The sequence below is a fragment of the Homo sapiens genome, chromosome 2 (genome assembly GCF_000001405.40).
Source record: "Homo sapiens chromosome 2, GRCh38.p14 Primary Assembly".
NCBI lineage: Eukaryota > Metazoa > Chordata > Mammalia > Primates > Hominidae > Homo > Homo sapiens.
This window is the reverse complement of record NC_000002.12, coordinates 226,726,537-226,753,879: the sequence shown is the minus strand read 5'-3', so window position 1 is coordinate 226,753,879 and position 27,343 is coordinate 226,726,537. Positions and strand designations below refer to the sequence as shown.

The 27,343-nt window shown below is 39.8% G+C and overlaps 1 protein-coding gene across 1 annotated transcript in view; it reads left to right on the top strand.

The window, feature by feature from the left end:
- The window catches only part of IRS1 (insulin receptor substrate 1), a 68,509-nt gene extending 45,941 nt beyond the window's left edge, over positions 1-22,568 (top strand). The window contains exon 2 of the mRNA NM_005544.3: positions 17,630-22,568. The gene's annotated coding sequence lies outside the window, so the exon portion shown is untranslated. The remainder of the gene's footprint in view (positions 1-17,629) is intronic.

The window sequence follows — 27,343 nt, the reverse complement described above, 5'->3', positions numbered from 1 at the left end:
CCCTGTCTTAATCAATCAATCAATCAATCAATCAATCAGTGCTGAGTTTTAAACAATATATTATCAAAAGAAAATAACACTTTCAAAAAGTTAGCAAACCCCTTTAGAACACTGCCAACTATGAGGATCTCGTCACAAAGACTTCAGAGTCCATTATCTTTGATTTGGCTGAAATTACTTCTCCTTAATCAAGTCATATGGACCTTAGACTATATTTATGAGTACCTATGATTTTCTTATAGATCCTTTCTTGGTATACACAGTTTTTAATTGACATTTATTAATTGAGTACCAGTTATATATAAAACACTGTAATGGATCAGGTAGAAAGTTAGAGATAAGAAACCTCTTAAACAGTTTAGTAAAGGATTGTAATCAAATGTAAGTTTATTCACGGTCTCAGAAAATTACATTTCATGGCATATTTAGAATATGGTATGATTCTACTCTGCCTAGACATAATTTTACCTTTCAGCTAATGAAGTGTAATAATGCAGGTTATAAAACTTTAGGGTGCTTTTGAATTGCCCTTTTAGTTAAGGGCAATCCATTTTAAATAATGAGTCGGTGATTAAAATTATAAGTTTAAAGCAAAACAGGAAGTACCTTTATACCCAGTGATAAAACAGTGGTAATTTGGCAATATTCCTTATTGAAGGCCTGTCATATCTCATGATTAATGTAATTGTCTGGGTTTTAATGGCATGATTTTTTGAGGTTCTCTTCTCTGCAAACACTTAGATAAAACTGCAAAGAGGCAGAGCTTCAGTGTCAAGTCCCTTCCATCCCTTTTCAGTTCTTCTTTTTGCCACCCCCTCGGGGCCATTTTGTTTTCTGGTGGCTTCTTGCTACTGGATAGAGTGAATTGATGGTCCTGTAATTTGTTAGTTGTTAGGATCTGTGCCACGTGCTTTACAGTTACCATCTCATTGAATCCTCACAACAGCACAGTGAGTTAGGTAATTTTATCACTGTTTTACCGTGAAACCGCAGCTCAGTGAGGCTGATCAAGTGCCCGAGGTCCCACGCCAGTAAGTGGAGCTGGGGCCTTCCTGCTGTCCAGTGGTCGCATGGGTCCAGCAGTGAGTGCCTTACAGGCAGGATTATATACTGGATACCGTTTTAAAGGTTACATACTACATTCTCATTGTATCCCATATCCCTTGGTAAAATGTATTCTCACTCTGTCTCAACTGGTTAGGAAAACAACTCTGTGAATTACACGATATGTGAATTGCACTGTCCAGCAGTGGTTTGGAAATTAGCTCTTGGGAAGTATCTCTGGCCACCTCATCATTTCCTATCATTTCCTAAAATCTTTAGTAGCCTATGCTTGCAGACCAGTGGTAAAGCTGCACCTTGGGGTTAGAGACCAGAGTTAGGCCTGGTGAATGAAATTGCCATGTAATAATTAAGGCCTGTTGACTGCCATAAAACTTTATTTACTGGAAAAGCGAATCTGTGGCTGACTTCCTAATAAGTAGAGCTGAAGTGTGTGCTGTTGATTCAGGGCCTGTTTGCCTTCCTATAGGAATTGGGGACCAGTTTGCTACTGTCTGCTGGCCTCAGTGGAAGTTATCACCACACACAGACCATCCTTTCTTTTTATTTTTTAGTCTTTTCTAAATTTTGGTACCTTTGAGTCATTATGCCTCTGTGCTCCCCCTGATATTAGAAAATGTGCTGCTTCGGGATCTTTCTCTGGAAGCATCTACGGTTCTGGGAATGAGCTACCTGCACAAGGAATCCTTCTTGTTCTTTAAGATTCTGAGGATAAATTAATACTCAGCAGAAAATGGGAGCAAGCATGTCTTAATATCAATACTTTTGATATTTCAAAGTTGAAGTTGTTATAGACCATGATAGTCATTTACCTGTTATATCAGTTCTACTCATTTATTTGGGATGAGATCTGAGTTGGCAGTTTTGTGGCTTTTTATAACTGCAGGCCTCTCAAGTAATAAAGATGTGGAGTTGGGAGCTAGTCTCAAATTTGTGCTTTGTGGTTTATTTGGTAAAACATGGCTGTAGGGCAGGGCGATGTATTTCACTGAGTTTGGGGAATGCCTGTTTCTTTTTGGTTCTATCACTTTTGAGCTAACGTACGTGGCCCTACCTCAGTTCCTCCTAACTGAGCCTCTCAGGTGTCAGAGTCACCCGCATTCATTTTGTAAAGAGATAGAAATGTACTGGGTCACAGCTTCGATCCCTCTTCCCTCCCCTGTGCATCTGCCTCTGTCACTGGGCCCTCCTTTCTCCTTAGCCTGAACACTAAGCAGGGTTTAAAAAAAATACCCGGCCGGGCGCGGTGGCTCACGCCTGTAATGCCAGCACTTTGGGAGGCCAAGGCGGGCAGATCACGAGGTTAGGAGATCGAGACCATCCTGGCTAACACGGTGAAACCCCGTCTCTACTAAAAATACAAAAAATTAGCTGGGCGTCGTGGCAGGCGCCTGTAGTCCCAGCTACTCGGGAGGCTGAGGCAGGAGAATGCCGGGAACCCGGGAGGTGGAGCTTGCAGTGAGCCGAGATTGCGCCACTGCACTCCAGCCTGGGCGACAAAGCGAGACTCTGTCTCAAAAAAAAAAAAAAAAAAAAAAAAAAATACCCGTGTGGAGTCTTTTAAGGAATTCTAACTATTGTAGTTTTCCCCCAATGTCCTCTTTGCAGTCATCCAAATCTGTATTGTTCAAGAGCCCTGGCGGCAGAAGTTTCTCATTCTTCTCTAGTTAACTCTTCTAGAACCTTACCCACCTGGAAAATTTCCTTCATGTTTTAATTCCAAACTATTTCTGCAGTCAAAGCCCATTCACCCTGCAGACATGGCTTGTGGTGTAGCCTCCTTATTGGCCCTCAACTAAGCCCTCTTAGTATTCATTTATAGAAATTAAATAGTAGGTTTCCTCCTTCCTTTTTGGTTCTTTACTCCTTTGCCACTGAGTGTGGTCCTTAGACCCACAGCACTGGGGTCACTTGTAAGCTGGTTAGAAAGGCAGAATCTTAGACCCCACCCCAAACCTAATGAAGCAGAATCCGCACTTTAACAAAATCCCCAGCAGATCCTAAGCACATTTAAGTTAGAGAAGTGCCACTTTATTCTATATCCTTATAATCTGGATATTTTCTCTGTGCTTTTCTTTAGTATGGCTTAACAGTGGACACTAAAGCTAGACAAGGTCCTATATTGATGACTAGGATATTACCAAGTATAGTGGAAATATTTTAGCAAGTATTTATGTACCTCAACTTCTTATTAATCTAATACCCATGATATTAAAACATTTTGAACTAAATTTGATATGTATTCTTCCTTTACAATACGTTTGTAGTCACTGAAGACATTTTTGGGTCTTTTTTACTGCTGTATGTTTACCCCCCTCACCTGTGGAAGTCCCCATTTTTTAATTTAGTGATTTGGCAGCTAAGAATCTTCTTTGGCCCTTATGTTGAATATCACCTTGTTTTCTCTCTTTTGTTAGGATCTTTCTGTTTCTCTAAATAGTTATGCTATTAAGATTTTACTGATTTGGGAGTGAGGAGAACGCTTAGTCTCACCCTAGTGCTACTACTAACCAGTTGCATGAACTCAGACAACACATTTAATGATTCTTTTTTTTTTTTTTTTTTTTTGAGACAGAGTTTCGCTCTTGTTGCCCAGGCTGGAATGCAATGGCGTGACCTTGGCTCACTGCAACCTCCGCCTCCTGGGTTCAAGTGATTCTCCTGCCTCAGCCTCCCAAGTAGCTTGGATTACAGGCATGTACCACCACACCCAGCTAATTTTGTATTTTTAGTAGAGACAAGATTTCACCATGTTGGTCAGGCTGGTCTTGAACTCCTGACCTCAGGTGATCCACCCGCCTCGGCCTCCCAAAATGCTGAGATTACAGGCATGAGCCACGACTCTCGGCCACTCATTTAATGCTTCTAAGTCAACAATACCACACAATCAAGGAAACCCTCATAATACCAGGCCTGAGACTTTTTGATGGCTCTGTCCATATTAATTCATGAGCTTTTTATATGGTGACTTGGTCACGTGGTAGATGCCACCTGTAGAAATGAGAATAGGGCAGTTAAACTCTGGAATAACTCATCCAGGTGCATCTTTCGGATAGTCATTGGACCATCTTCCTTCCCACTTTCATAGAACTCTCAGGTGGGAAAAATGGACTAAGTTGAATTTTTGTTCAGTTTTCATTTTATTTCTTGGATCTATCTCTGGAAAAAGTGCAAGAAAACCACTAAATGGTTGAAGGCAGACGGAGGAGGCCACCATGGAGAAGGGTCCCAGCTTACTGACTTATGGCAAATGGTTCTCAAGTCAACTTCCTATTGACTTTTTCTAACTATGCGTTTGAGAGGTGGGAAATTAGCAAGGACTTAGCAATCCTCCCACCTCTGCTCAAGAGTCCCTGGGAAGGTCTTTGTTTCTACTGGAAATTCCCACAAAGAGAATCCCAGAAGAAATGATGTGGGGCAAGTCAGTGGCTGTGTTTAGGGGCCCTGGTGAGTATTGCTGCTGGTTGGGAGTGAAGAGAATTCAGGAAGAAAGAAAACTATCTCTAAAGGGTAAGGCTTTCCAAGGACGTTTGCCTGGCCACAACTCTTGCTTACATTGTTACAGAAGGAAAGCGTGGAGAAACCAAATGAACAGGTAGGCCATGGCCCGCTTGTGACATGTAATAATTTAATGGGGAAAAAAAGCTTCAGGCAGTTTTTGAGGAGAATAAGCAGATTTCACCATAATGCTGTTAATTAAGTGTTAATTATAGCCTGTTGATGTTTGATAGTAAGGTGAAATTTTGTGGCTCCCTTTTATTTTGAAAGCATTTTGTCAGCGTCTCAGGCTATGGTCTAGAAAGAATAGAAGCTGTTGTTTTCTTGGTGTACTCTGGGACCTGCAGCAGCTCCTTTTGCTATATTTAAGGAGGATCTGTTCTTCTTACCACTGCCTCAGGGTTCAATCTGAAAACCCTGGTATTTAACCACCTGGAAATCAACTTGTTCTGTTCATTGTCTAATTTTTAGAATCTGGAACCCTGTGTACTCACGGATGATGATATATGTGCCCCGAGCATCCCCCCTTTGCTGTTTTTTGTCAATATTAAGTTTTGGGAAAGCAGACCTAAAAGTGTCTTCCTGAGAAGACATTTTAAACACAGAAACAGCAACTATGATTTGTATCTCAGTCTTGCATTTGACTACTGGGTTTTGTTTTGTTTGTTTGTTTTTTGATCATAAATTATCTTCCGAGGTGTGGATATTTATCTTATAAAGTAGGGAAAACCTCTATGAAACAGTGTTCTGATTTAGGAATAGCCTCTTAGAGAATAAATTTAGTGGATTTATTTTTTAAAGTGAATTTATTTTTTAAAGTCTACTAATTCTGGAACAGAAGGAATCTAATATTTAACATTTTGGTTTGGTTTTTTTTTTTTTTTTTTTTTTGAGACAGAGTCTCGCTCTGTTTCCCAGGCTGGAGTTCAGTGGCTAGATCTCAGCTTGCTGCAACCTCCACCTCCTGGGTTCAAGTGATTCTTGTGCCTCAGCCTCCTGAGTTGCTGGGATTACAGATGTGCACCACCATGCCTGACAAATTTTTGTATTTTTAGTAGATATGGGGTTTCATCATTTGGCCAAGCTGGTCTTGAACTCCTGAGGCCTCATGTGATCTGCCCTCCTTGGCCTCTCAAAGTGCTGGTATTACAGGTGTGAGCCACCATGCCTGGCCCTTGAGGATTTTTTTTTTTTTTTGGACTCTCAGAGATTTGAGGGCAATGAGCGTGATGAATGGGTCACGTAAGTAATGTGTCTCCTTGTTCACTGCAGCCTTATCTCATTATCTCCCTGAGCTTTGCAAATGATTGTGAAACCAGGTATTTTCTCCATTTTATTAAACTGTTAATTTGTTGCAGTAGACTCTCCACTGTGTTGTAAGGTGTCTAGTAGTATTCCAGGCCCTTACCCATTAGAAGCCAGTAGCATCTCTCCTCCCCAACCCCTTTCCTGGTTGTGACAAGCAGAAATACCTGCAGACATTGCCAGATGTTCCCTGTGGGGCAAAGTTTTTTCACCCACACAAATTGAGAACCATTACCCTAGAGATTTAGTGAAATGCTTGGAGACTGGAGGGTGTCTGCAAAGAGAAATTGGTTGAGCCTCATGAGCGTGTTTCTGCCAAAGGCCAGATGGATGGCTTCTGTCTGGCCCTTCCATGGGTCTGAAGGTGACCCCATTTATTTCCCTTGGGACTGTAGTCCCCTCAGAGTCTCTGTCTTAGTTTGGGCTGTTATTACAAAATTGAGTTGATGGTGGCTTAAACAACACACATTTATTTCTCACAGTTCTGGAGGCGGGTAAGTCCAAGAACAAGGCACCACAGACCCTGGTTTGGTGTGCCCTCTTCCTGGTTTACGATGGCCGTCTTCTTATTGTAGCCTCCTGTGGTAGAGAGCAGAAAGCAAGCTCTCATGTTTCATCATAAGGGCACTTATCCCACCCATGAGGGCTCCACCCTCATGACTTAATTACCTACCAAAGGCACCACCTCCTAATACCATCATGTTGAGGGTTAGGATCTCAACATATAAATTGCAAGGAAAGACATGTTTCAGTCCATAACAGTCACTATAAATACTTCTTAATGGCGGTTCCTTAGCTAAAAGTTGTCACTACCTGTTTATTAAGAATGGGGCACAACTGTCCATGGGGTGCTTTTAGCTCAGCCAGACAAGCAGCTCAACCCTGCAATAATGTGATATGCAGTTTCGTTTAAGAATGCTGTTAGGGCTGGGCATGATGGCTCACACCTGCAATCCCAGCACTTTGGGAGGCAGAGGCAGGTGGATCACCTGAGGTCAGGAGTTCGAGACCAACCTACCCAACATGGTGAAACCCCGTCTCTACTAAAAGTACAAAAATTAGCCAGGCATGGTGGTGCGTGCCTGTAGTCCCAGCTACTTGGGAGGCTGAGGCAGGAGAATCGCTCCAACCTGGGAGGCAGAAGTTGCAGTAAGCTGAGATCAAGCCACTGCAGCCCAGCCTGGGTGACAGAGCAAGACTCTGTCTCAAAAAAAAAAAAAAAAAAAAAAGAATGCTGCTAGGAAACTTTTAAGCAAGTGGCTTTTTCCACATTAAAAAGAAAGAGGCTGAAATGTCAGATAATGGAGAAAATAGAGAGGGGCAGGAGCAAAGTGGAAGTAAGACTTGAAAGATGAAAGCAAAAGAACAGGAGCTTTGGGGTCAGTAGGTGAAAGGTCGACCCCTCATTGTCAACTGGAAAAATTTTGCCTCTTTACACAAGGCAGTCAGTTAGAAATTTGCACCATTGTCTGCCTCAGTGACCTTAGAGCTGCAAGCAGTGGATGCATTATCAATTATTTTAGATTAACTTTCTGAGATTTCCCTCCCTCCTCTTCCAGCTGCCAACAATTAGATGTGCATCTGGCAGCAATTTCAATTTTTCATCAAGTTACTCAAGCAGCATTGACTGGCTAGATCACACTCCTGTTCAGTTCCTTCAGATGAGAGATTGGGGAAAAGAATTTGGAAACAAAAGCCACCCAATTCCCTGCCCCCACCCCCAACAATCATAAACATGCTTTAGAACCTAGAAATAATGCATAAGAATCTCACTGAACACCCATTTAAGCATATTCATGTGATTTCTTTGTAAATACTTTCAGTAGTATTAGAAGTCTTTCATTAGCAGACTTAGAAAGAGTGGGGGGCTTCAAGCTTCTGATTTTTTTCAAGCAATAAAAGTGGCCTTTCTGATGTTTCTGTAGATAGCATTCATTTGAGATCTTCCCCTTTGTACGTGAATGCTACTGTCTCAATATTGAATTTGTACTCTTTCCTGTGTAGGTAGACAGGTCCTTGTATAACGTTGTATTACATATCATATCTTTAGCCTTACTACTACTGCTACTTTTACTTTTTCTTTTTGTTCTGGCATTTTCCCCTTCCTCCTTTCTGAAATAACTTTGTCCTCTCTTCGCAAGATGCATCCTCATTTTGGCTTCTGATTCAGTCCTTGCCTGGCATTTGGTTGGTGGATTCATCCTTGCTTGCTAGTTCCACCACAGTGTTTTTGGCTGGTGTGTTTTCAGGTATCAGGAAAAGATGTGGGATCCAAGGGTTTCTAGTTCTTCATAACAGTAGTTACACTAAGAGCTAATGATTGAGGGCTTATTATGTGTCAGGCACAATGATAAGAAAATGTCATGTATTATCTCATTTAATCTCAACGAGAACCCTGTGAAATGGGCAATGCTCTCCTGTGTTACAGACGAAAACATTTGGGATTTTGGAGGGTGAGCAACTTGCCTGAAATCACAGAGAAAAGAACACTGAGAGATGGGATAATGGAACTTGTCTTAGTTTCCTTTCAAATTTTAATTCAGAAATAAGTTTTGACTTAAACAAAATTATCAGTCTTTAAAAAGCATGACAGCCATGTAATAGTTCCATCTTCATTCTGAAAATAACCTTTTTTGGGGTTGAATTCCCTAAAGTACATTTTTTAATTCAAAATCGCATACAGGTTACTCACTTGTCACTCAGAAAGAGGCAACTCAAGGGAAACACACATTTATTGCATTATTACTTTACTGTAAGCAACAGTTAATAGCTTTCTCTTTAACATGAGCTAATTAATATGGTTCCTGCCTGTGTATGGCCTTCTGAAATCTAAGATGAATGGTATACTTTTCCTTGCTCCTTTTACATTGACTTTTGTTGAAGAATTACTATCATAGCCCAGAAATCTTTATGACTTGCATTTCCATAACAGATATTCTTCAGGTAAAGCAAATGAGAACTGTGGGTCAAATACATTTGAAATATGCTGCCATATACTTGTATTATAATCAGTTTCAGCTGGTTTCAGAGAGGGAGTGTTTCTTCAATAGTTAGACCACTTTGTTTTTTTTTTTAAAGAACAGTTCGCTTCAAAGAATCCCAGATCAAATTCTTCTCAACGTTTTCCCCCTGATATTCTCCTCAATGCAGAAAGGAAAACAAAGGCTAAACCTTTTTTGCTTCTGTAAGATGATGGCTTCCTGGAGACGTTCCTTAGATCAGGGGTCTCCAACCTTTTTGGCACCAGTGACAGGTTTCATGGAAGACAATTTTTCCATGGCTGGGGGTGAGGGGATGAATGGTTTCATCAGGCATTATTTTCTCATAAAGAGCATGTGCAACATAGATCCCTTGCATACACGGTTCATGATAGGGTTCACACTCCTGTGAGAATCTAATGCCGCTGCTGATCTGACAGGAAGCCGAGTTCAGGTGCTTATGCTCATCCACCATTCACCTCTTGCTGTGGAGCCCGGTTCCTAACAGGCCATGGATCTCTACTGGTCCACAGCCTGGGAATTGAGGACCCCTGCCTTAGATGTATGTTGTAGGGAAAATCTTCTACTGAGGTTGAGCTTGCCCCTATTAGAAACTATTGGGAGTGGCATTGTCCTCTGTTAGGCCTGTTTAAGGATCAGAAAAACCTATGGGAAGATCATGGCCCCACAGCTGAGGTACCTCATGGTTGTTTTGGAAGATGCTTGTTCAATTCAGTAGATTTTTCTTACATGACCAAGTTCTTCCATAAAGTGAACCACAACCCATATTATCGGGGACTCTAGCTAAAACTTGCGGTGAGTAGGAAATAGATTAAACACAGGTTTTCCCACTTCTCCAGCTGCCAAAAGTGATGTCAGTGGTGTTAATGATTCTTACCTCAGTCCGCTGCAGACCAGGGTTGTCTATGCAAATGCTTGTTTGGTGCCTGATTCCTGGGCTATTATGGAAAAACTGATGATGCTTGAGAAACAATTGGGTAGTCAGACAGTTACTCAAATGTAAAATCAGACGCTTGCTTTCTTGAAGCAATTTGACTCCAGGGAGAGGGCAAAGAATGAGAAATCTATTAGTTTTTAACAAAAAAAGCAAAGGCAGTGAAAATAGGCTCTGCCTGATTCCCTTTTGTCTAATTATAGAAACAGTTTTGCACACAATTTTCACCATCCATACACTAAATGAAGTTTTGATTTTAATGCAAGTCTACTGGTTTGTATCAAAGCCAGACCTATAAAACCTGTATCCTGTAATCTGACCATTACAAACAAAACCCCAAACCCAAAAGTGATGTGAAATTACAATAGAAACCTCAGAACTGAAATGTAATTTCTGTGAGGGAAAGGATGCTGCAGAAATAGTGCCCATGAAAGCAGAAGAAAGACATTCGTATGACATTCTCACTTAGTAGGGAATATTCTGTCATATTACCTTCATGTCTTTTCGTAACAGGTTTATTTTGGTTGAGCTCTGTTAAAATTAAAGCTTCCTGGCTGAGCACGATGGCCCACACCTGTAATCCCAGCACTTTGAGAGGCCGAGGCGGGTGGATCACCTGAGGTTGGGAGTTCGAGACCAGCCTGGCCAACACGGTGAAACCCCGTCTTTGCTAAAGATACAAAAATTAGCCAAGTGTGGTGGTGTGCACCTGTAATCCCAGCTACTTGGGAGGCTGAAGCAGGAGACTTGCTTGAACCCAGGAGGGGCAGGTTGCAGTGAGCTGAAATGGCACCACTGCACTCCTGCCTGGGTGACAGAGTGAGACTCTGTCTCCAAAAAAAAAAAATTAAATCTTCCTGCCTGAGAGTACGTGTGGTCTGACTTGAAATGAAGAGGGACTTTTTTTTTTTGTTTTTTTTTCCTAAGTCCTTTTACCTTGAATCTGTCATGTACATAGGACAAACTATAGTATTGGTAAAAGGGAGATTGGAAACATTTTGATTTGCAATTGAGGGGAGGAGCTGTTATGGTCTTGACCTCATTTTCTTTATCAGCATGCTTCCTGTTAATAAAAAGAATGGGAAATAACAGAAGTGGATATTCTTTGGCTTAAAAGATGTATTAATATTTATTCAGATTTCCTTAATATATCACTGACAGAATACTTTTAATTACTGAGAACTAAATGTTGTTTTGGTCTGCCTTCTCCACAAATTCCTAACCATCCTGAAAAGTTTCTGGAATCTCCTTCTGCCTTTGGTAGCTGGGGAAGGAGAAATTCACGAGACTGACAGAATTCAGCCCAGTAGCCTCTGCCAGAGCTGACAGGCTTGATGGTCGCCTTTCGGTCTTCTTTTTTTTTTTTTTCATAATGCGTGTGCCTTTCTTCATTGGTGGTCTCCTGAAGTCACCAGCCCTGCCAGAAGCTCTTTCACTGGGACAAAAGGGGAACTGGAGCGAGATGGCCTCTCATATGTTGGCAACTCTCCCTGAATTTTCTTCCTTGGCAACCCTGCGCACTGGAAGATCTGGCCAGCAACCTTGTTATTTTCACCAGCCCTCTCCCATGTGACTTGCACCAGGCAAAAGTGCTATTTAAGCAGCTCCATTAAAGCACTGGCTTGGCTGGTTGGCTTACCCTTTGCCATTTGAGACCACAAAACCAAGTTCTTTCCAGCTCAATCCTGGCCTGTTTTAAAAGAAGTTGGTTTCCTTTCTTTAGCTAAAATGGCTTTCTCCTTTCAACATCCAAGTAGCAAACATGTTGGTCTTACCTCTAACTTTAGCTCAATCTTCACTTGATGTGTGTGATTATGATCTGAAGGCCTTAGAGTTGAGAATTGAGAATTCACTGGTTAGTTTTCTCCTTTTCCAAGCTTCAGCTTGCCCCCATACTTCCCAGCTGTCCCTTGTAAAGAACGGGGAGATTATCCCATGTCCCAGACTTTAGAGGCTCTCTGGATTTAGCTCTTCTTTTTGTATCAGCAATATGACCATAGTTAATAGCGCTGGACCAGGAGAATGCAGCTTCCTCCTTCTGTGCTACTAACTCAAATGCTAGAACCAAGGCTTTAAGCTGGGAACTTCCTTTAATAAGCGTTTCACAGTCTATCCATAGGTCAGTGGTCATTTTTATTCATCTGAGATTTTATAGTGGGATTTTATGGAGGTATGAATTTTAATGAACAACACCCATCTATTACCAGAACTATAAAGGTATTTGAGACTGATGATAATATGTGTGTGTGTGTTATGTGTGTGTGTGTGTGTGTGTGTGTGTGTGTGTGTGTGTGTTTACTGGGCTCATTTGCCAGATTCAGGTATGCTGAATGTGTGTGTTGTAAGGTGCTTTATTAATAAGCATTCTAGAAGACATGATTTGCTTCCAGTTAGTGGTACTGTAAATTAAGTGTATCAGCAGTGAGGTAACTGAAGAATTGTGGTAGGAGGGAGGGGTATGCAGTTTAATGTAATTGTGTGAAATAGGAAATCAACAGACGTGGGAAGACAGAATAGAGAGAGGTTACAGGCATCATTGTCAGAATCTTGCAAAGTACAGAGCTACCCACTGACCCCTCTGCTCTCATGAAGGGAATCTTTTCTAACCTGAGAGGAATCCTTCTGTTCTCCTGGCTCTTCCAAATATTTTGCCTGTGCCCTTCCTTTAAATACTGAGGCTTTTGGAAACTAAAGCCAGGGAGCCAGAAGATTTTCCTACTTTCAAATTCCTACTCTCCCCATATTATACAATGCGTTGGGATGATGGCAAAGGGATGGAATACCAGGATGCTTTAAAAAGTTGGGTAACATTTCAAAAATTTTTCTCATCATGGATTTTTAAGAATGGGAAAGATCTAAGTATGATTAAAACAGTATTTTCCTTTCCTACTTAGACTTTTTGAGGGGACATTAAATGCAGCATTTTAAAAGTTCAAATCCTTTAAGTAGATTGTGAAATTACAACCACAGCTGAGTAGTGGTTTTTCTGGTGATGGGGAATATAAGTCATGTTTATTCCTTCTTTACATCTTCCTGTATTTTATACATTTTCTGTATTATATTCAAGATACTTTTTTTTTTAAAAAGCACACAGCTGTTTATGTTAACTGAAAGAGAAATATGCTGTTTTGATTCATTTCTTTAAGTGGAGGAAATTAATTTATATTAATTTTCTAGTTCCATCTACAATATAAGATTTCAAACAATGACCTCTATTGAAAAAAGGTCATCACTACGGTCATTTTTTTAAAGCACAGTTGGATAAGGAAGAGTTACTTTCTAACAATTTAGTATGTGACAGTGGCCAAGCAACTTAAAATATTTTACTCTTATTTCCCTAGTAAAAGTAGAAACGACTAGCAATGCCCCAACTAGATTTTTATTACTATATTGCCCTTGATTTAACATATTGGCAAGAAGTTTCAAAACATATAAATACAGGATGAAAACATTTGTCAATTGTTCTGACCAAGAATGCATTGCTGAGTGTACAGATCTTTCCATCACACTTATACTCTTGTGCTGTTTCCAGCTGCTTTCCCAGTAAAAACGATCAGTAAGCTGAGACAATGTAAAAGGAAGCAAAGTCTTTATTTGTTTTTCAGCTATTATAGGCATAGTTTAAGTGGGTAGAACCCAGAAGATGTAAATTCCTACTAGATGCAATAATGCAATAATCCATAGGTGTCAAGTAGCATTGCTCAAGTGTTGACTTATTTGATAATGCTTTAAAAATTACATTTTTCATTACTGGCAACAGGATTAGGTGGGTTTTATCTTACAAGAATATACACGCAGAAGGACATAGTAGATACTGATGTGGTGATGAAATTTTGTCAAAATGTAATTTCCTGCTACTAAATCTCGTGACAGGTGCATTGTATTTCTGCCTTCAGAAGTTATTCCCCAATGATGTAACCAGACAGAATGCATTGTAGGAATATCACCACTTGATATTTGCAGTGTCTTCTCTTAAGGAAATGTTTTGCCTTTTTGTTTCCAGTTTCTGCCTGTTACAAATGAATTTTTGCATTTGTAAAACTTTGTAGCAATATTTGCTACCTCTGGTCTGTCAATTGTCTCCCTTCAGTCAATTGAAGTGGTGTATATATAAAGTGTATTAAACATATGTACGCCTATGCGGGCTTTTCCCCTGCTTATTCCAGTCTTTATCATTGTATTTATGCTTATTGCATTGAATGACTGACTGCAAGACCCTAGTATGGGCATTGCTTTTTTCTTTTTTAAAAAATATATTAAGTTACGCAAATGTTTGCCTTTTTTGAGTGAGTTGCTTTATTCAAGTTCAGCCTTGCTTGATTGTGAGTATGTGGAGCTAGGGAGATACAGACAGATGAACTTTAGTCTCATTAAGCATATGTTGAGGTCTGTCTCTAAAGTGAGGAGACTTCCTTTCCAACAAACTCATCAGAGCAAGTGTTGTACACAACTCTGATTTTGGAACTTCGGTTTCGGAACTCTTTGGCTTTAGATAATACCTCGCTGGGAACAATTACCCAGCTTAATCAGTCCCATTATTCACCATATTTGGCTCTCAAAGCTTTTTGGCTGTCTCCAAAGATCAAACGTGTCCTCAGAGGGCTAAGACTGGCTGCTATAGAGACTATTCAAAAGAATATGCCCAAGGCTGAGCAGGCATTCCAAAAATGCTGCAAACAATGGCTGCATGACTGGAATAAGTATGCAGCCCCCAAGTTGGCTGTTGTGAAGGACAGTTCTCACTGAAGGATGTCCATGTCATTATTTGGTAGCTAAACTTTATGTGCCTACACAGATACACACACCCTGTACAAAGACAAACAGGTGTGAACTTCAGACTTTCCCTTTTGAGACAAGTGTTGATCAGGACTTAAGATAAGGGGCTTTGAAAAGTAGTGTGCTAAGTAAGACTTTGGAAGGAAGGTGTCGATGCACTTGATACGTCCTTTTATTCCCTGCTCTTTGAACATACTTGTGGATAATGACAGAGATCATTTCCAAGTGGCCCAAAGCAACAGATTTCAGCACCCAGTGAAGCCACCTGTTTTTCCCTCTCCTCACAGGGCCCTGGGTCTCTGTCCTTATGCATCCGTGCAGGTTGGTACGTGTGATGATAAAAGAGGGTACAGTGTGTTCCTGTACTAAGCTGTTTACCCACCCCTTCTGGAGAAGAGCCAGATATGAAATGAAAAACATACCATATGCCCTTTGCTTTCTCCCCCATTTTATGTTCGGCAGTTTGTTTGTTTGTCACAAGTCCTTTAATAAAGTGTGGCCTTCCTGCCTAATTAGAGGCCCAGAGCTGTGAAGCTCTGTTAAGCGCTAATCTAGAAATTCTGGTGGGAACATTCCTATATGCATTCAGGAGAATCTTGACAGTAAATAAGAGATCTGGAGCTTGTTGTGGGGAGTTTCCTAGCATACCAATGGCTTGTGAAGGGACGGGCTTTCTTTTCATTTGTGGACACCACAATTGTAGACACACAGAGTAAATCCTGTTTCTCTGGCAATTAAAGGGGCAAACTTGGAATGCTTCCTTTTTTGTTTGTTTTTATATTGTGATCGTCATGCCAAGTCTTTATTAGTGAGTTAAAAATACAGTTTGTTTACCTGTCTTTTAGAGGCAGAGTTAATATTTAAAAATAAATAGAAATCTCCTAAAACTAGAGTCATCATTTGGTAAACTTTGACTTATCAGAAAACCATTGCGTAATGAATGATGACTGATGCCAGCCATGATCATTCCCTTCAAGAGGAGACAGAGGGAAAAAGATATGAGGTTGGTCCAAAAGTAATTGTGGTTTTTGCAATTTATTTTATGGCAAAAACCGCAATTGCTTTTGCTCCACCCTAATATATCGGTCCACACTTACGTTGCGTGTATTTTGGAAGCTGTCACTATCCTTGTAGGTGATATGCATTATTACTGCTACATCTTGACCTTATGTCAATGTAGCATGTCCTTGTTGTCTCTATAATTAGATAAAGTCCTCTTAGCTTGTCATTCAAGGTTCTTCACCATCTACCTCAAGCTACATTTGTAGACTTAATTCCTTCTATCCCTCCTTAGATATCTTGGGGTCCAGTGAAGCCACATCCTCTACTTGAGCCTGCTCACGGCTACCATCTCACCCTGTAGGACCTTGTCATATGTTCTCAATGGGAAGCGTCCTTTTCCTTTTCATTTATTTAACTCCTATTTATTAAGTACTACCACGTGGCAAGCCTTGTGTTATCTTCTGGGACTGCAACACCAAAGCAACATAGACACAATCCCAGTTTCCACATCCCCACATTATTCTTTTTCTTCCAAAACCAAGCCAGGTGTGTCAGTGAGATGCTCCCCTTACACCCCTAGCTGGGAGGATTCTTTCCATCCTCCATGTGTCTAGAGCTATTGCCCCCATGCATGTATCTTGGCATGTACTGATGTCTACTTCACATGCCATGTATTTATGAACAGAACTTGCCTTCCTTTCTAGAATTACTAGAAGGCAGGGCTTCCAACAGAATCCAGCTTTCTACACTTCCTAGTATTTAGTGCAACCACGTACTCATTCAACAAGTATTTCTGATCTACTCTCTGCTAAATACCCTTTGATGCACTCTGTAGATACTGATATTTATAGATAAGTTTTGAATGCATGAAAAACAAGGACCTGTAAAAGACTAGGTAGTGTAATACTTGAGTAAAAGATGCTTTATGAGGTTGAAAAGGAACCAACCCAAATGTCCAACAATGATAGACTGGATTAAGAAAATGTGGCACATATACACCATGGAATACTATGCAGCCATAAAAAATGATGAGTTCATGTCCTTTGTAGGGACATGGATGAAATTGGAAATCATCATTCTCAGTAAACTATCACAAGAACAAAAAACCAAACAGCGCATATTCTCACTCATAGGTGGGAATTGAACAATGAGATCACATGGATGCAGGAAGGGGAACATCACACTCTGGGGACTGTTGTGGGGTGGGGGGAGGGGGGAGGGATAACACTGGGAGATATACCTAATGCTAGATGACGAGTTAGTGGGTGCAGCACACCAGCATGGCACATGTATACGTATGTAACTAACCTGCACAATGTGCATGTGTACCCTAAAACTTAAAGTATAATAATAAAAAAAGTAAAAAAAAAAGAGTCTTCACTCTGAAGGGGAATCACGGATAGTGACCCTTTAAAATTTACCTTCTTGACTTGCAAAGAAGAAATGCTGTGCTTCTGCCTAAATAACTTATTTCTATTAGACGTAAATCTGAATCTTTTTGTTTTCTTATTTAATGATTCAGTAGGTCCGTTTTGCTTGGGTCTCCCTTTGCATCTAAAATTCTCATGTCAAACAATGTTTGTGCACATGAAAAATTGATTTCCGATTTTGTCATGTGAAGCTCTGCAACTTCAAATTCTAAAATCTGCAGCTGACTTTCAACCAGAAGGAGATACAACACAGACTGACTACAACCCGCTCATGTCGGATGGTCATTTTACATAGCAACTAATGATGTATGTTTTTGCTTCAATCACAACACCAAAGAATTTTCTATTTTTCCTTTGCTAAACCTCTGAAACATCCAGATCATGTTGATTTGTTTACAGATTCCACATTGATGACTTTTGGTTAGTGATTTCTTTAGACTCTTGCATTTTGAAATAAATAAAAAGCTAAATACAGTTTGTTGATCATATTTAGGTGGACAGTACTATTTGTGCCTGTAACTTCAGTTTATGTGACGCTGCCCCTTGTAAAAGAAAGGTTCTAAAGTAGTGATTGTGCAGTTTGAGATACCTGTGGTGCTGAATTCTTTCCTTTTTCTTTTCAGAATGAAGACCTAAATGACCTCAGCAAATCCTCTTCTAACTCATGGGTACCCAGACTCTAAATATTTCATGATTCACAACTAGGACCTCATATCTTCCTCATCAGTAGATGGTACGATGCATCCATTTCAGTTTGTTTACTTTATCCAATCCTCAGGATTTCATTGACTGAACTGCACGTTCTATATTGTGCCAAGCGAAAAAAAAAAATGCACTGTGACACCAGAATAATGAGTCTGCATAAACTTCATCTTCAACCTTAAGGACTTAGCTGGCCACAGTGAGCTGATGTGCCCACCACCGTGTCATGAGAGAATGGGTTTACTCTCAATGCATTTTCAAGATACATTTCATCTGCTGCTGAAACTGTGTACGACAAAGCATCATTGTAAATTATTTCATACAAAACTGTTCACGTTGGGTGGAGAGAGTATTAAATATTTAACATAGGTTTTGATTTATATGTGTAATTTTTTAAATGAAAATGTAACTTTTCTTACAGCACATCTTTTTTTTGGATGTGGGATGGAGGTATACAATGTTCTGTTGTAAAGAGTGGAGCAAATGCTTAAAACAAGGCTTAAAAGAGTAGAATAGGGTATGATCCTTGTTTTAAGATTGTAATTCAGAAAACATAATATAAGAATCATAGTGCCATAGATGGTTCTCAATTGTATAGTTATATTTGCTGATACTATCTCTTGTCATATAAACCTGATGTTGAGCTGAGTTCCTTATAAGAATTAATCTTAATTTTGTATTTTTTCCTGTAAGACAATAGGCCATGTTAATTAAACTGAAGAAGGATATATTTGGCTGGGTGTTTTCAAATGTCAGCTTAAAATTGGTAATTGAATGGAAGCAAAATTATAAGAAGAGGAAATTAAAGTCTTCCATTGCATGTATTGTAAACAGAAGGAGATGGGTGATTCCTTCAATTCAAAAGCTCTCTTTGGAATGAACAATGTGGGCGTTTGTAAATTCTGGAAATGTCTTTCTATTCATAATAAACTAGATACTGTTGATCTTTTCTTCTGTCCCCTCCCCCCACCACTTCTGTAAGTTTCCTGCTCTATTCCCACCATTTTTTTCTGTGCACACATTATGATATATTTCATTTCCTGCATTGTCTTGAGAAAGATGGTAAGGCAAGTGAGCTGTTGCTAACCAGAAATTAAAATTCCAGTAAGTGTTTTTCATTATGACCAGGGCTATGTGTCACCTTCCCTAAGACTCTTACCTTATCTCATATTTTTTGAGAACTTCCAGTGTTACATTATTTAACTGAATGTAATTGGCCCATTTGCCTTGGTGGGTGCTGGCCTATTAGTGATTAGTTAACAAAACACAGCGTACAGAGAGCACAGAAAAGCTTAATGACCTGCTACTGAAACACCTAGCCAGCAGTGAAAATGTTAATTCTTTTCTTGTTTGGAAAGTATACACGTCTTGGAATTTTTTCCACGTGAAAAACAAATGGCAATGAATGCATTTAAAGATATTGCCGACAGATTTTTAAATCTTTTTACCAGGAAACTTCCTAAAGGTTAAATGAATTAATGCAAATATCAGGCTCCCTCTGAGTCTGTGGGAGCCTCTATCTCTCTATCAGGAATTCGCATCCCTACTATTGGGAGGAGCAACATTTTATTTCTCTGAACGCCTAAGCTCCCTGGGTGGGAGTGGGGACTACAAGGTAGGGGCCAGGGTTGGAGGGCATTGTAGTGGCTGCTGCCTCCTGATGAACTGTTTGGGGACCCCAGCTCTACTCAAAAGGGAGCGGAGATAAATGGAACCCCTCACACTGCTGAGGCCCGTGTTACTGTTCATTCAGCCAGGTGGCATGTACCTCACAGACTGTTGTGCAGTGTCCGTTATTGCAGATTTTAATCATTTGCATGCTCATCAATTTCTAAGATAAATAGGGTCTAGAGTCATAAGAATCCATTGTTTTCAAGGAACTTGCAGAATTACATCATTTCCTATTAGTAGAGAGCACTACCCATTTTGAAAATCTGATATGAAAGTTGTTTTTTACTCTTGTAAAAAAAGACTTTCTTAGTCAAACTAACTTTTCATATTTTCAAGCATTCTGATTCATACTCTTGCTAGTGGAAGAAGAGAGCAAGCTGCCCTGCTCTTTTCCTTTGAGGACTGAAATAGTTAAAGAGAAATCAATGAACAAAGTCACTCCCAACCATTTTCCTGTAAAGCTGGTTATTATTTCTCAAGGAACCTACACTTTGAATATGTGTTACCGAGATACCTCTACATGTGGAATTATCAACATGTTTTGAATGAGAGCAGAAATGAACAGACTGGAAAAATCTATCTCTTGGTTTCTATTTCTCTGACTTTTTGAGTCGAAAAGCATAAAGGTAGAAATTCTTATTTAAGCTGCTTCTAGTGGTGCCTGAGCTGGTTTTGATGGTGGCATCAAACTACCGATTTAAAACTGGAAGTTGCTGGTACTCAAACCAAAAGTTCATACTCTGGCGACACGAAGGGTTTCCTTTGAGCAACGTCAGCTGCTGAGTCCTTGTGTTCAGTTCCCATTGAGGAGAGTTGGCTTTTATCCATTTCAAAGCATTTGTAGGCCAGCCAAGGGCTTTCATTATTGAGGCTTCTAGTGGCCTCTGGTTAACCTAGAAGTTAGTGGGTTTTTCTTGATGACACCAACCTCTCACAGCGTTTTTCCTTAGAGACTTAAGCAGAGTTTTAAAATCCTCTTTTGCGAAAAGAACAAATATGTTTTATGACTTTGATGATATCTTCATTCTGGGCAAAAGAATGGCCCTAGAACCAGCTAGAAGTGAAGAGAATCCATTAATGATCAACCACCTGAGTCAATAATGAGAAATCAGTACTGATGTTACATTTGTGGCTATTTCTTGCTGACTTTCAAAGGTCAAGGACTCTTGACTAATCCAGTGACTGCAAAAATGGATCTACTAAAAGTCATCTAGCCAGAAGTAGAGATTTTTAACCTTTCTTTCCCTGGCTTTTGTCTTCTAGCTATCATTTAAATTTGAGACATTTGAAGTATTAAGAAACAATTTTTCTGTATGGTAAGAAACAGTATTTTACAATACTGAAGCCCTGTTTTATTCAATCTTGCATCTTGAATACAATATACCACAAAGTCGGAAACTTTATATTTATTTACTGCAGGTGGTTAAAAAAAGGGGGGAAAGGGTTTCACCATCCACTGACAACGAGAGCCATGACAAATAGTATCCATGTGCAGTCTTCCAACTGCTGGTGACAATGACCCCATATTTGGTCTCATGCTGCTTTTGCAGAGCACTCTGTAGGTTAGTCCATCACACAAGGAGGCCCTGAATCCAGACACTGTGAATTAAGACCTTGGCGGGGAGAGATGTGACCCTTTTGGTAGGAATGGGAAGAAGAATGGGTGGAAGCCAATATGAAATTTCTTCTTTGCAATGACTTGACAGGGGAGTTAATGTTCCTAGGATGCCATGAATGATGAATGTTAGTTGGAGGTAATGCTGTATATGTGTGTGTGTGTGTGTGTGTGTGTTTGTGTGTGTGTATATATATGTGTGTGTGTATATATATGTGACATGTGTGTGTCTTTGTGTGTGTGTATATATATGTGACGTGTGTGTGGGATGTGTGTGTGTATATATAGATGAATATATACAAATATATAGATATATACACACATATATAGATATATATACACATATATAGATATATATACACACATATATAGATACACATATGTGTGTGTGTGTATATATATATATATATATATATAGATGTATAGGCTTGTGAGAAACTTGAGAGGAAGAAGCATGCTCTTCTAGGAATGTGAGGAAATATGACCTTGCCAAGACTAAAAGACCTCTAGACTGTGAGCTCAGTTATGGAGAACAAAAACAGCTTCATAGTGAGTAGAACACCGAGGATAAACACTGGGGCCATGGGTCCTTTCTGAGGCAGCGCCACAGAAGATCTTTGTGGTCCTTCCGTAGTTCTGTAAGTCTGTCTCCTAAGTATGGGTAGAGAATATGTAGCCTGTTGTGTGTCTCCCACTACTTGTAAACAGAGCATCACATTAGGGGCAGGGAGGAGGTGGAATGATATTGGAGGTGCTTAACCCTACTCGAGGAATTAATTATGAATAAAGAGCTTATAATTAGCTAACATGACTAGAAAACACATGACTTAGGTGGAGAGTTAGCTTTCTTTTCTAGTTTGTGTATGACTTGCCATTTGTGACGTATACACCAAAAGATCTGGTGTTTTAGACTTCTGCCATTCACTTGGCATTTAAATCTCTCTTTGCTTATGCTGTTAACGAGTATGCCATAGGATAGGACAAATTCAGTAAACAGGAAAACTTGTCCATATTTGCATAGACATTTGTAGGGTTTTTTTTTTCTTTTTCTTTTTAGAACTTCACCATTGGCTTAAGAATGTAGTTCCCAAAACAATTTTTTCTTGCAAAGTACTTTCCTTACACCTCTTGGCTACAGGGTGGGCCAAATTAAACATATATGTATTTTCATTTAATGTATGTGCAGTTTGGTTTATCATCTTAAGATGGTGGTGCTGCCCCGGTGCTACTTCATCTGTGTACACAAAGACCAATGCATGGTCTGTATTGCTACCAAAACATTTACTGTATATATGTTTATAACATGTATTATGTATATATGTAATGGGTGCCAGGCCAGGTATATATTTTTTATTTAGAAGTGTTTCACTTTTCCAAGTTTTCTTTATAGTGTTATGCTTATTTTCAATTTTTTTTTTCCTGATTCTGTCTGGTACTTAGAATTGTAGTGTCTTCATCATCAATTAAAGAAAACTGTCTAAATGAATTCATGGATGTAAATATTAGTGGTCCTTAATGTCTTTGATTGCTGGACATGAAACAAACTGCCAATTAAATTTTGCGGAGACATTTGATTGGGTAAGAGCAGTGTATGCTGTTTAACATGCTTTCCTAAATGATTTTGGAACAGATAGGTGGGCCTCACCCTATCACTCTTCAGTTGGCTTTCAATGGCTAAGTGTATAAAGAAAAAGACCTCAGTCAAGGTTTTAAGCTGCTTTTGATGGTAGTGCTGGCAAAGGTAGAGGGGAGAGGGGAGCAAAAATCCATCCTCTTGGTGGAAAGGTTTTTGTTCCCTTGATATGCATACTTGAATCTTTAGTGTGCACACAGATCTCTTAAAGAATTTGTTCGGCCGGGTACAGGTGGCTCACGCCTGTAATCCCAGAACTTTGGGAGGCTGAGGCGGGTGGATCATGAGGTCAGGAGTTCAAGACCAGCCTAGCCAAGATGGTGAAAACCTCTCTCTACTAAAAATACAAAAAAATTAGCCGGGCGTGGTGGCAGGCACCTGTAATCCCAGCTACTCGGGAGGCTGAGGCAGAGAATTGCTTGAACCTGGGAGGCAGAGGTTACAGTGAGCCCAGATAGCGCCACTGCACTCCAGCCTGGGTGAAAGAGTGAGACTCCATCTCAGAAAAAAAAAAAAAGCAGATCGTCATCTCAGGGCCTGGGGCCAGGCCTGAGATCCTGCACTTCTAACCAGCTCCCAGAAGAGGCCAGTCCTGCTAGTTCCAATGACACTGAGTACCGAGGCAAAGCAGTTGGTGTTTCTCAGGCCTGGCTGCATATTAGCATGATCTGAGTGGCTTTAGAAAACACATCCATGGCCAGGCCAACTTAGGAGATGCATACTGATTAAATTGGTTGGAGATGGGGCCTGGACATCTGTTATCATTGTTGTTGCTGCTGTTTTTCATGCTTCCCAGCAGATTCTAGCAAGTGGTGAGTGCTAAGAACCAGTGCTGGAAAGAGTTACCCAAACTTGTCCGATTACTAGAGCTGCTATTAGAAATCCTGATTCCCTGGAGTGGTCTAGGAATGTGTATCTTTAAGCAGGTGACTCTTCTGCTTGGAAAGTTTGGGAAATACTGATTTCTGTACAACTGGAGATTTGTGGGTCATTTCTCCACTAGAAAGGATAATAACACCTATAATTTTTGAAAATAATAAATCATGTTGCCAATATTGAAGCAGTCAAGCACCCCCAACTTCTGTGAGCTATCTTGCTTAAACCATTTAAAATAGAAGATGATTGATGTGTCCTATGTTTCAGGGCAAACTCACATTATTGGACACTTTAGTATTTAAGGCTGAGCATGGTGGTTCCCGCCTATAATCTCAGTGCTTTGGGAGGCTGAGACAGGAGGATCACTTGAGGCTAGGAGTTCAGGACCAGCCTGCAGAAAAATGTGAGACCCTATCTGTAAAAAAAATTTAAAAATTCAGCCAGATGTGGTGGTGTGCACCTGTAGTTCCAGATATTTGGGAGGCTGAGGTGGGAGGGTTGCTTGAGCCTCTGAGGTTGAGGCTGCAACAAACTATGATTACACCACCACACTCCAACCTGGGCCACAGAGTAAAATCCCATCTCAAAAAATATTAATTAAAAAATTTAATATTATTACAAAAATTTTTATGAGCATGATGCTCCGCTGAGAGTATAAAGACTGACTTTTCCACCCTTACTTGGTGCACCAGGCTAGAGGGATCTTCCTTCTGTTTGCCAGTGTAAGCGATATTTTTATTGTTAAGAAGCAGCACACAACATGATTTAGTAAATGCTTAAAGTCATTATTTGATCTTCACTTTATATTATCTTCCTCCATTTATACTTAAACACTGATTTTTCCCTCCCAATGGTATTGCAAAGCAAACATCACTCTAATCCCTTTGAAATTATATGTAAACATCAATAATTAGTATTAATTTGAGGGAAGTTTAGTTGGAATGTATTAATGGTGCAATTTATAGCATAACTGTCTTATTACCTTTACACATATACAGAAACAAAATAGCAAGTAAAATGTCAATGAAAGGCCTTTGAGAATTAATGGTCAAGGAGAATCTGTAATTACCTCACTGATTCTATTATAAACAATAGCAACATTTATTCTGCATTCATTGTGGGCTAGCCACTAGGATTTATATCAATTATTTTATTTTCCCAGCAACCTAGAGGTAGATAAGGAGTAAGTCTGTGGTCACAGGCTGCTGAGGGGAGGAGCTTCTTGCCATACTGAGGACTTCTTTTTTTTTTTTTTTTTAGACAGAGTCTCACTCTGTCTCCTAGGCTAGAGTACAGCGATGGGATCTTGGCTTGCTGCAACCTCAGCCTCCTGGGTTCAAGAGATTCTCCTGCCTCAGTCTCCCAAGTAGCTGGGATTATAGGCGCATGCCAACATGCCAGATAATTTTCATATTTTTTATACAGACAGGGTTTCACCATGTTGGCCAGGCTGGTTTCGAACTCCTGACCTTAAGTAGTCCACTCGAGGGCAGGACCCCAGCCTCCCAAAGTGCTGGGATTAGAGGCGTGAGCCACTGTGCTTAGCCTGAGGACTTCTTGATGGTTTATATTCTCATTGACACCGCTGCAAATTTCTGGTTTCCAAGTACTTAAAAAATAATTTTCCATTAATTAAAAACATTGTTACTCCAGCTGCCTTGTGTGACAAATTCGCTGAGCAAACATCATCTCACAGAAGCCTGAAAGTAAAGCTCTGTCCAACTGATAACTTTCACCCTACGAGGTAACAGGGCCTTATTCTATTTATTTCCATTCTTTGTCTTGGTGTCTAGCTTAGATCATTTGTGTCAAAAGTCATTTTCTGGTTCCCTATTGATTTTCCCAATAAGTGCACCTCTTTTCAGCAACACGATTGAAATATCTGGCTTTATTTTAGGAACACACAGGACAGTAGGTTAAATGTGAAAGCCACATGAAATCCTAACAGCTGTTGTTTTAGGCGTTAGGATTTATGTATTACCTCCTGTAAACCCTTTTAAATGAGAACTTCTACTATTATCTGTTAGGGATATCAATGATTAGAAAAATGGCCAAGATTGGCAATGGGAAAAATGGGAGGCGGATGCTTGGGTATCATCTGAATTGAAGAATGAGTCCTCACCTGAAGTGAATGAATGATTGAAGCTCTTTTCTGATATACACTCAGTGTTTTTCAGAACTTGAGCTGCAGACCACCTATATCAGAGTTTCTAAAGGGCTTAAAACAATACAGATTTTAACAAGGGCTACAGGAAACTATATTAATAAATGGTTCCCCAATAACACACACACACACACACCCCTTCTCTCTGGGGTTGTTCTACACCTGACCCTGGAGGAACACGTTATTGGAGTTCATTAGGCAATATCCTATCTGCTTCCATTTCTATGTTAGTTGCCCCAAATCTCAAGGACTAAAGTCCCATAATTGTAAATGTGAGAGAAGAAATGATACAGGTGGAGTTCCTCATTGCTCCCAAAAAGCAAACAATCCGTAAAGTAAAAATTAGTAAAATTTGTCTAAACTTATGTAGGAAGTAGCATGAAAATAAGGATATTAGGTAAATTTTTGTATACAGCATCATACAGAATTTTCCTAATTCTATAAAATAAGCATATATATATATATACATGTATAGATATATATATGTAAATGGAAGACTCTGTTCCAAAATATTAACAAGTGGTATGTCTGATGGCATTGTGAATAATTTTTCTTTTCTGTTTTTCTGTGAGTGTTTATAATAATCATATCTCTTTTTATCTGGAGAAAGAAAATAATAAAATATTATTTAAAAATACAAAAGGGGTTGGATGAGAATCTTAGTGAACCCCCACATTTAAACTTGCTACTCCATAGTCTATAAATCAAAGATCATTCCCTGCTCTGACCCAGAGGCCAAATCCAGCCTGCTGCCTGTTTTTGTAAATAAAGTTTTATTGAAACATAACTGCACTCATTCATTTACATATTGCCTGTGGCACCACGACAGCAGAATTGAGTAGCTGCAACAAAGACTGAATGGCCTGAAAAGTAAAATACTATTTGGCCCTTCATAGAAAATGTTTGCTGGCCCCTGCCATAGCTGTTTTCAAGAAAGAATTGGGATCTGAGGCAAACCCCCTTGCCCTGGGCTTCTGAAATTCTCCCGGACCTGCTAAAAAAGTTATCCTGGAAGATGTTGGAGCTTTGTTGCTGCAATTACAAGTGCTGTTGGATAGAGTTTATGATCCCCTCTGACTCCTTATGCAATGACTGTTGAAGTGCTAATAGGACTTCTTAAAAGTGTTTATCTACAAACACCAGAACACTATTTTACAGCTGGGCAAGTAAATACAGTTCAGCTTAATTAGAGTAGAGCTAGGATGACTTTTTTGTTGATGCCTCAATTTTTCTAGATAAAAAAACAAAAACAGTAGAAATCATTTAGAGTGGTCCTTTTCAAATAGACATTGGGTTTCCTCAAGGGTCCACAGGAAGTTCAGAGCAAACTGTGGCACCCAGAGTGGCAGGACCTCACCCCATAGGAGGGACAATAAACAGGCAGGTCTTTTCCATTCTTTTTTTCTAACTTATGATCAGCTGCAGTGCTGAGAATAGAGATGAGTCGCAGGAAAGTGAATTCTGTCCAGGAAGACAGTGCATGGTAACCTACCAGAGGCGGATAAAATATGTGGGGATTATTGGATTTAAAAAAAAAGAACCATTGTTCTAAACTGAGTCACAGATAAAATAGGAAGGTATTTCCTTGGCATTTTCATCATAAAATCCCACTATTCATTCATCACACCCTAAATTCTAGAAGGGGACTTGTCCAAGGTCACCCAGTTAGAAAGTAG